Source organism: Homo sapiens, chromosome 22 (genome assembly GCF_000001405.40).
Source record: "Homo sapiens chromosome 22, GRCh38.p14 Primary Assembly".
Classification (NCBI taxonomy): Eukaryota; Metazoa; Chordata; class Mammalia; order Primates; family Hominidae; genus Homo; species Homo sapiens.
In genome coordinates, this window is record NC_000022.11 from 49,178,803 (window position 1) to 49,189,371 (window position 10,569).

A 10,569-nucleotide genomic window follows, 5' to 3' on the forward strand; every position below is an offset into this window, starting at 1 on the left:
GAACGGCTCATGGTGGGAGCAGCCACAGCGCACCTGCCTAGAACGCCTGGTCTCCTGCCTCTGTGCAGTGTGGGCGAGGGGGTGGCTGCCTGCTAAGGGCTAATGAGAAGACAGGACCTGAGCGGTCACTGCCAAGCGGGGCGCCCCTCTGCAGGTGCTGGATGTGGCCACATTATGAAAAGGACGCCTCATCCCTCAGCTGTTTCGTAAATTATCTAAAAATCAACCTTCCGTTCCAAAAGTGACCTAAAATGATAAGCTCCGTGGCGGGAAATGTTGCCAAATGTTTTCTTATGAAAACCATGATGTCAGAAAAAAGGCGTAATGTCTTTATAGAGGGCTGGAGCGGCCGGATGGGGCCTCTGGGGCAATCACCTTAAAAGCTTTCCAATATTTTTAGACTTGTATTTGCTATTTGTTCGAGTCACTTTGGAAGCTCAGCACAGCTTTTGTTTTGGGGGTTTTACGAGTTTGTTTAATGCCCACGGTCCAAGTGTTTCCATCCATTAGCTCGGCTGCGTCAGCGCCACCGCGATCTATTAACTCCTCCCGCCAGGCCCTCGGCGGCCCCGTGGCCACGGCAGGCGCTACCCACCCTGGCTCCCTGCCTGTGGCTTCAGAATTTGTGGAGGTGAGCCCTGCACAGCCCGGCTTCCCACTCTCTCCGGGAAGCCACCATCCCTGGCAATTCTGTCCCCCCGGAGGTCGGGCCCTCATCAGCTGCACTGTGTGGCCTCCTGTCTCTGGGACTCCTGTCCTTGACCCTGTTATGAACGAGGGAAGCATCCTGTGATCCTCTTTGTGGTCTTTGCTGCTGGTCGAAGCATTTTTTGGGGCTCAGGGATGGGAACTGTGTCCTGGACCACGTCCAGCCTCGGGGCAGGGCAGAGATACACTGCCTGGGAGCCTCTGTGGTTCCAGCAAAGCCGCCCAGGCTCCAGCCCTGCCCCACGTTTCCTGGAGGGCACAGGCAGTGCCTGTCCTAACCCTGAGAGGTCTGCTCACGGGGTCACCCCACTGTGGTCCTCATTCCTGATATCGAGCCTGAGTCCCTGAGTCATGGAGATGCAATTGGAGATGCTGTGGACCCTCTAAGAGGAATTTCCGTCCCAGCTGTGTCCCTGGGGGTGCCCTGGCCCCGCCTGTGTTGCCCCTGGGCTGCAGAGTTGTCCTCCTGACCCATGACCAGCCCCTGAGTGTAGTGGAGGCCGCCGTCCCCCCGTACCCCCTGCTGGTTTTGAGGGAGCTGTCTTCTTCCTCATACCAGCTTTCTGCCAATGCCTGCCCCAGCCAAGAAGCAGATCCACCTCTGGAATGGGAGGCTGGGTGAGCCATCAGGAGCTGGTGCCAGCTGCACACAGGAGGTGTGTGAGACAGCCAGTGACGTGCAGTGGCAGGAAGACCTGAGTGTGGTCCTGGGCTCCCCCCACGGCTCACCACCCTAAAGGTCCTATGCATGGGGCCACGGGGTCGTGCCTGCAGCAAGACCTAGGGGAGTGCTCAGCACATCCCAAAACCCCAGGCTCCCTCTGCACATGTGGGATTACCTGGAGCCTAGCTGGGGTTGACCCGAGTAGGGGGATGGCCCAGCCACAGCACACAGGACCCCCAGTTCTTCCAGCTCCAAGAATGGCCTCTCCTCAGACATGCGTCCATCAAACAGGCACAGTGGCTGAGCTCCTTCCAGTCACCTCCTGGACCTCCGGCTGGGCGAAGCCGCCTCTGCCCGCCCACTGCTCACAAAACCCCTGGACTGTCCCAGGTCCTCCAGCCCCTGTGGATCCCACTTCCGTCTCAACCCACCTCCCTGCTCCTGTTTCCCCACCACGTTAAAATGCCCAGAAAGGGGCCTGTAGTCGGTAGCCTTTTCCCGTCTCCACCTTCTCCTGACTCACACTGCCCGGCCGGCATCTCTCTATGGAAACGGGGCTCGCCAAGGCCTTCAGTGATGTCTGTGCTGCAAATGTAGTTGTTGGTTCTCTGCCCTCACCGGGTTTAACCTCCCTCCTGACCCCACACACCACTTCCCTGATTTATTTACTTTTGTCCAAAGTCCTTGTGTTTATCAGGGTTCTCCAGACAGTCAGATACACACACACACATACTCACACGTGTACACACACATGCACACACCGATATACAAATATACATATATGTATACAATGTACAAATAGGCTTTACACACACACACACTCACACATGTACACACACACCCATGCACAGGTATACAATTATACATATATATGTGTAAGATGTACAAATAGGCTTTACATATATATGTAAATGCTACATGTCTGTAAATGTATACATGTATGTAAATGTATGCATATATGTGAATGTATGCATATATGTATGGATATATGTAAATGTATACATATGTACATAGATATATGTATTTACATATAGATATAAAGCCTATTAGTACATCTTATACATATATATATGATAATTTCCGGGAGCAAGGGGCTGTCTCCCTCTCTGCGTATATCCATATATGGAGAGAAAGAGAGATTTTAAGAAATTGACTCATGTGACAGGGGGTACTGGCAAGTCCACAGCCTGCAGGCCAAGCTGGCAGGATGGATAAAGGGTTGATGCTGCTGCCCAAGTCTGAGGCCACCCGGAACCAGTGTTCCCTCCTCCGGGGGCACCCCAGCCTTTTGTCTTAAGCACCTCAACGGATTGGTGGCAGCTCACCCATGTCATGGGGACTGAACTGCTCCACTCAAAGTCGGCTGATTTAAATGTTTGTCCAAGAAACACCCTCACTGCGGCCTCTGCACTGGTGTTGAACCAGGAATCTGGGTCCCACGGCCCAGCGAGTGGACACAGGACACTGCCCATTGCTGACCAGGCCTCGCCACTCCCTCGTCCACGCTGCAGCTGCTGTGCTAGCTTTTTCGTGGCTGGCCCCATCCCGCTGCCACACAGCTCCCTGAGGGTGGCGTTCCTGTCTTGTCAGCTCTGGCACCCCAGGCTTTCTGGCCATTTCTGGACTGCATGAATGAAGGCCGAGGCAGAAGCACCACCTGAGACGCAGGCTCAGGGATCAGGAGGGACCGTTGCCCACAGGACTGGTCTGGGAAGCTGGACTCCCGGCAGCTCTTCCCCACTAGCATGCAGGCCCAGGGGTAAGCATGTGCGATTACAACTCCAACAGGACCCTGTGCACACAGGATGTCCGGGCGGCTTGGACTTCCCACACTACTTAATGTGGGCAGGAAGCCATGGCCCCTCTGCCGATGGCTTCTTCATCATTGGGGAATCTTCTCCGTAGCTCCAGCAGCCGGCGCACGGGCCCAGGAACTGGTCAACAGCGATCAATGACTTGGCAGTGGCTTTCATCAGGGTCAGCAGGACACAGACGAGGTGAATGCCATTTCTGCCCTGGGGTTAGGACTTCACAAGTTGTCAATACCTTGGAATCACCCATGCAGCTCCACCCTCATCCGGGCGAACTCACAAGCCCCACGCAGGCCATGCATCTGCCAGGGATGAGGCCCAGGAAGACGCCTCGGCCAAACCCTGAGGATCACACAGGGGCAACATCGTTACCGGATGGATTCGAATCCAGAGCAGTCTGGGGCAAAGCAAGCCTAATTCTGTTTTCCCCCGTCATCTGCGCCAACCTCCTCCCACATCCCTGTGAGGCAGAGCCAGGAGTGCAGCAGAGAACAGGGGTGAGGATGCCAAGGCCCACGCTCGGCGCTCCTACCGGCCCTGCCACTGGCTTTGATCCCCTGGATGTGGAAGGAGCCCCTGAACCGTCTTCCTTCACGTTCCCGTCTGACTGCCTCTGACTCACCTGTGAACTCTCCGCACAGCACCCACCCTGAGCTTGAGCTCGCAATTGAGAGCCCCTCGGCGCCACGTGCTCCCCCTTGCTAACCACGTCGCCCTGGGGACAGGGCAGGCGACCGAGAGGGTTCTCCATGTGCAAGTCCAGGCCCCACCCTCACAGCTGCGGGACGCTCATCCATATATCCCTCACTTATTCATTCAACAAACAGCAACTAAGTGCCCTCTTAGGGCCGGCAAGGGCTGAGGAGCTGGGCAGCCCTCAAGAAGGACACAGCCGGGTCTCCTGACACCAAGGGGCGTGCCTCTGAGCAGAGGCCGTAAGAGCCATGTCGGCACATCTGTGTTTCAAAGAATTTTCGACAGCAAGGACTGCAGAGGCACAGAACAAACTGAGGGGTGGGAGGCGGAGGAAGCAGAGGACGCTGGTTATGGCAGTTGGGGAAAGATTCCTCAAAGGAGGGCAGTGGCCATAAGGGGTTCCCAGGGGCCAAGCGAAGACCCCGGCAAGAGCTCTAGTTCGTTTGGCTTTTGCTTTCCTATCCGCAAAGCGTAGGCGACGACTCCCACCCAGCGGATTATTGCAAGGAGTGAGCAGGGTGGATAGAGAAGTCGTGCCAGGAGGGTCTCCCGTCAAGTATAAAGGAGAAGACGGTGATTGTTTTGGGTAATGGAGCCATTTTTCTCAGCACTGCTCCATCTGCCAGCTGACAGGCCACAAATGGGGACTGGCCCGCGGCGTCACTGGGGTCCCACCCACCGCACGACACACACAGAAAGCGGAGGAGGCCCCGGAGGACGGCAGGCGTGCAAGTGGCAGCTGTAGACCCAGCAGCATCCTACAGGGCAGTGAAGGGGCCTTGGCCCAACCTTGTCTGACCCACGTGGACGCCGAAGTCTAGGAGGGGAAGGGACACACTCAGTGCTCAGAGCAGCCCAGCAGCAAAGCAGGACAATGGCTCTGCTCTCCCAACCCCCAGGCCAGCATTTGTCACCTCAGTGACCCAGAGGAGAGCGTCAGCCATCAGGGACGTCCTGGAGCTCCCGTTGGCCCTGGGGGCCGCCCCTCCCATGGAAAGCTCGGGGCTGATTTGTGCACAGGGCTGGGAAACACAGCAGCAAGTACAGGGGGGCCCCATGGGGGAGGTGCAGAGGACTTTTGGGGGCAGGCGGGTGGGAAGGGGCCTTGAGGGGTGCAGAGGAGCCCACTGGTCTGAGGACTCCGGGGGCAGGACGGGGCTGAGGACACCTTGGCCCTGTGAAAGCCGAGTGTCACAGTTCCGCTTGCTCCACGGCGGCGCGACTCCACGCTGTATGCGTGGTACGAGGCGAGGGTGGTAAGGCAGGAAGTGGGCAGAGGCTTTGTGATGAGTTAACCGGCTGGGCGTTACCCTATGGAGCGGGAGAGCCATGGTGCATCCAGGCAGCCAGAAGCATCCTCCGGCGCCTGCCGCAGAAGGAACTGGAATTGCGAGAGGACAGGGGTGGACGCTGCCGCGTGGGAGGCGTGCTGTGGGGATGACGCACCATCCTGTTTGTTTGCACCAAGTCATTTATCTCGTGCACCCCAGGGGGCCGTGGTCCCTGCCGGGCCATCATGTCTGCTTCCCTTATTTGGGTTTTCTGCCCCCTCACTTCATTTCTCACTTCGCTTTTCCTCCTTATCCCTTTGCAGTCTTGCTTTTGGGGGCATTGCTCAGCCAGTAATTTGAGGGACACCTCGTGGAGCCCTAGTGTGGAGCCGTCAGAGCCTGGGTAGGATTCTCCGTGGTGAGGTGCTCAGGGAGACACAGGAGCATTCCGGCGCCTGTTCCTTGTGCACATCCGCAAGTGTCTGCAGTGAGAGGCATGGGTCCCATCTTGAATGCCAACAATGTGGCACCCACACCCCACTTGATGGGGCCGAGCCACAGCTGGCCAGGTTGACCACCATGGACGTGCCAGAGGCATCCGAGACCCAGCTCTTGCCCAGCTGTTCCACTGCCAACTCCAGCGTTAGCAAAGCAGCTCTCCCTTGCTTTGTCTTCTACAGCAGAGAACAGATTAAAAGAAGAGAAGCTGCAGGCAGAGAAATGCCTCTTGGAGCCAATGCCCCAAAGGATCTCTTTGAACAAAGGGTTGCTCAGGTCAGCGTTAGTTCCTGGCATCAAGCAACAAAATCAGAGATGCTAACAGTTCTCAGATTCACTCCAAGTGAAGACTCAAAGCTGGATTTATAAATCCCCACAGAGCCGCTGTGCAGAGGTAGAGGGCCGGTTTCAGGATGAGGAAGCCCTCTTGGAAGCACCGTCCTCCGCTAACAGCCTCCAACCTCTGTCCCCAGGGAGAGGCGCGTCCCCAGCGAGTCGCATCAGACACGTCCCACCGTGGACGTGTTTGCCCCTAGTCACCTCATTTCTCTGCTCACAGCGCACAGTGCTTTCGTTGCATTCTTCGTTAGAACACCCAGGGGAATCCCAGCTTTTCCTCAAACGGAGAGGCAGGACACCCAGAGACAGCTCTGATTAAGGTGGGTTCTTCCCAGAGGAGCAGAGGGAGGGGAGCAGCCTCTAGGCTCTAGGACTTCCTTGTCACCAGAAAACTCGGACGGCTTCTGCACTGAACAAAGCCTCTTTGAATGCTATGGACTGAATTCTGTCTCCCCAAATTCACTTGTTGAAGCCGAACCCCAGTGTGTTTGTATCCACAGATGGTGCCTCTGGGAGGCACCCATCAACCCATCCATTCATCCATCCATCCATTTATTTCCCATCCACCTTTCCACCATTCGTCCACCCACCATTAATCTATCCACGATCCACCCATCCACCCATTCACCATCCATCCATCCATCCATCCATCCATCTATCTACCATTCATCTATCCATCCATCCATTCATCTACCTATTAATCCATCATTTTACTCACTCACCCATCCATCCACTCATCATCAGTCCACTCAGCCTTCCATCCATCCACCATCCACCATTCCATCTATTCATCTATCTACCATTTATCCATCCATTCATCCTTTCACTCTCCACCCACCCATCCATCCTTCTCTTCTCTAAGCTTCTCTGTGTAGCCGTGCTTGCTGGGCTCCAGGGACTCTTAGTTCAGTGTGGGGAGTGGTCAGGAAAACAATGAACAGCATTGCTGAGCACTGTGAGACACATAGTAAACAAGTCCTGGAGGACCCTTGGACTCTCTGAAGCAGACAGCAGAGCTCTCCCAGAGGCAAAGGCAGGTCCGGGATTCTGCAGTGAGCAAAGTGTGGCCACACACAAAGTCATGAGCTGGGAGCAGCTGATTCCCCAAGGCTGGAGGATACAAGGTTGGGCCAGGGTTGAGGGATCACATGGTGGTCCTAGTCCAGCCTCTGCCCTGGCCAGGTGGTTTGTGAGTGTCTCTGTGCTGTGCTTTGTGTGTCTACACCTCTTTAGCAGGGGAGGCTTCCATGGTATTCTAACAGTTGTCGAGGGTGAGGAAGAGCCTGGGTCACTCAGGGCTGAGTAGAAAGTAACCATCTTTGAGCCTTGTTTGGAAACATGTCCACTGGTCCTGGGTTCCCTTCTTTGACTTAAGGAGTTGAATTTTTATGACCATGACCCAGTGTTTCTGTGACATTCCCTGGGAGCCTTCTTCTCACAGAGGTGAGATTGTGTGTTATTGAGGGTTCCCCAGAGAAGCAGAATCAACAACATGTGTGCAAGGTTGTGTGTGTGTGCATTTGTGTGTGTGCATTTGTGTGTGTGCGCATGTGCACTCACATGTGTGGGGGAGAGAGATTTGTTCACATGGAAACCCAGGGAGACACACAGTTGGGGTCCCAAGGCCTTGCTGGCAGAATTCCTTCTTTCTCAGGGAGGTCTGTCTTTTCCTCTGAAATCCTTCAACTGATTGGGCAAGGCCCACCCACATTAAGGAGGTCATCTGCTTTACCCAGTCCATGGATTTAAGAGTTAACCATATACAACAAGCCTTCACAGAAATATCCAAAGTAATGTTTGACTGAATACATGGGCCCTGTGGCCAGCACTGTCTGGTATGGGTTGTCAGTGGAGCTCAGGTGGTTGGAAGGTGACTCTCATGACATGGGGTGCAAAGGACAGGTTCTTGGAAGCCTCAGGGCTGAGCAGTGGAGTCAGCCATCCCTGGCTGTGGGTGGAGGAGGGAAGAGCCCAGGGTAACTGGGAGGCTGGTTCTGGCTTGGCCTCTCACACACGGCAGCTCCTCCAGCCTCAGCCATGACCCCAGCCACACCCTCCGACATGGCCCCAGGCCAGTCACAGGACTTCTGTGTGTCCTCATGTGCAGTCAGTGAGGATGACACCAGCCACGCGGGAGGGTTTGGAAAGGGCAGCCGTCACGCTCACTCTGGCCATCATGTGATGATCACGATGACTGCTATGAATGGCATCACCGCTGCAGTGTAATCATCATGATCACGGCTGCCACTGTCAGATGCCACCTGGCCAGCCTAAAGCAGACGCTGTCACTGCAGCTGTGACTATCAGTGCTGCTACTGCGACTGCAACTCTGTACAGAGTGGGTGTGTGGACATACATGCGTGTACACATGCACGGGAATACTATTCAGTCTTAAAACAGAAGGAAACCCTGGCATTTGTGAGAACATGAATAATCTGGAGGATGTTAAGATAAAGCAAAATAAGCCAGACACAGAAAGAAAAATGTTGCATGATTTCACTTATTGTGGAATTAATAAAAGTCAGGTTCCTAGAAGCAGAGAAGAGAATGGCTGTTCCCAGGGGCTGGAGGTGGGAAAAAGGGAAATATGGTTTGAAGGGTGCAACATTTTGGTTATTCAGCATGAACACAATATGGGGTTCTAAGGGACAGCAGGGTGGCCGTAGCTGATAATAATGTATTGGACACTTGAAATGTGCCAAGCATAGATCCCCGGAATCCCCCACACAGCTGTGAAAGAAAGCTCTGGAGGTGATGAGAGTGTGACTCAGCCTGGTGGTGGCAGTCACTACACAATGTGTGCATATACCAAAAATCACATTGTATACCTTAAATATACATTTTTTATTTGTCTATTATAATCAAGTGGAGAGCAAATTAAAAATGATGATACACCCTGTATTAGTCTGTTCTCATGCCACTAATAAAGACATACCTGAGACCGAGTAATTTATGAAGGAAAGAGGTTTCATGGACTCACAGTTCCACATGTCTGGGGGGGCCTCACAATCATGGCAGAAGGCGAAGGAGGAGCAAAGGCACGTCTTACATGGTGGCAGGCAAGAGAGCCGTGCAGGGGAACTGCCCTTTATAAAACCATCAGATCTCGTGAGACTTATCCACTATCACAAGAACAGCACGGGAAAACCTGTTCCTGTGATTCACTCACCTCCCTCCAGGTCCCTCCAAACCCCTTCCCGTGATTCACTCACCTCCTTCCAGGTCCCTCCAAACCCCTTCCCGTGATTCACTCACGTCCCTCCAGGTCCCTCCAAACCCCTTCCCGTGATTCACTCACCTCCCACTCAGTCCCTCCAAACCCATTCCCGTGATTCACTCACCTCCCACTCAGTCCCTCCAAACCCATTCCCGTGGTTCACTCACCTCCCACTCAGTCCCTCCAAACCCATTCCAGTGATTCACTCACCTCCCACTCAGTCCCTCCAAACCGATTCCCGTGATTCACTCACCTCCCTCCAGGTCCCCCCAAACCCCTTCCTGTGATTCACTCACCTCCCACTCCGTCCCTCCAAACCTGTTCCCATGATTCACTCACCTCCCACTCAGTCCCTCCAAACCCATTCCTGTGATTCACTCACCTCCCACTCAGTCCCTCCAAACCTGTTCCCGTGATTCACTCACCTCCCACTGGGTCCCTCCAAACCCGTTCCCATGATTCACTCACCTCCCACCGGGCCACTCCCACAACACGTGGGGATTATGGGAGCTACAACCCAAGATGAGATTTGGGTGGGGACACAGCCACACCATATCATACCTCTTTGAGTTCTGAGATTCTGTGCATTGACCTCAGACCGAAGCTTCTCCCTGCATGACAGGTACCTGCAACCACAGCTGCCCGGAGACCTGGGTTCTTCCCATGCAGCCTCACATGTGAGATTCTCCAGCTCCCAGCCCTTTGTTTAACCGTGGGATATTGGCTCAGGGCTGAACATCATGGGGAATGGCCAGCACGTGGATGATGGAGCAAGCCCTCTGTTTTCTGCTGCTCTGGATGCACTCCTCAGACACTCAGTGGCTCCTTCCAGCCACGCAAAGCCATGCGTCCTGCAGAACCCATCAAGGGACGAGGTTCTAAGGATGCTGACGGGGCTGCCGTGGCCTGTGGACAGGACTTACCAAGGACAGATGTGAGTCATGGAGATAAAGAGTTGCGTCCTTCAGTAGAAATCAGAACTTCTACCCAGTGGCATTTATCAGAAATCAAAGACATCTAGGTTGACTCGGCACAGCGTAATGTGCTGGAGTCAGAGAGGGGAAAACATAAGAAGCTGTCAGGGCCTACAGGGCTGGGCAGAAAGCAAAGAGACAGTCTCAATTAAATTCTTCAAATTAGGTCACTACCTGGTTCTCACATTAACAAGAACAAAGGTGGGCGCCTCAAACCATCAAAGTTACGTCATCCTTGGGATGGCACGGATTCGGAGGGAATGCAGTTGCAGTACCAGGTGTGTCTCCTGGAAGAATCTTCCAATCTGGTTATCAATCAAAACAGAATGATGCTGCCCTCATTCATCAGTCCATGGATTTCTGATTGTCCAGCCACTGGGTCTCGAGCTTG

At 54.3% G+C, this 10,569-nt stretch overlaps 3 annotated features.

The window, feature by feature from the left end:
- Positions 1,539–2,038: an enhancer, noted in NCBI's record as "H3K4me1 hESC enhancer chr22:49576267-49576766 (GRCh37/hg19 assembly coordinates)". NCBI's record gives its function as "activates a minimal SCP1, AML or CMV promoter by ChIP-STARR-seq in naive H9 embryonic stem cells {active_cell/tissue: H9 hESC(naive)}" and the evidence as "EXISTENCE:reporter gene assay evidence [ECO:0000049][PMID:30033119]".
- Positions 4,917–5,687: an enhancer, noted in NCBI's record as "H3K4me1 hESC enhancer chr22:49579645-49580415 (GRCh37/hg19 assembly coordinates)". NCBI's record gives its function as "activates a minimal SCP1, AML or CMV promoter by ChIP-STARR-seq in naive H9 embryonic stem cells {active_cell/tissue: H9 hESC(naive)}" and the evidence as "EXISTENCE:reporter gene assay evidence [ECO:0000049][PMID:30033119]".
- Positions 9,121–10,320: an enhancer, noted in NCBI's record as "P300/CBP strongly-dependent group 1 enhancer chr22:49583849-49585048 (GRCh37/hg19 assembly coordinates)". NCBI's record gives its function as "activates an origin of replication core promoter dependent on BRD2, BRD4, P300/CBP, MED14 and CDK7 cofactors, with strong dependence on P300/CBP, by STARR-seq in HCT116 cells {active_cell/tissue: HCT116}" and the evidence as "EXISTENCE:reporter gene assay evidence [ECO:0000049][PMID:35650434]".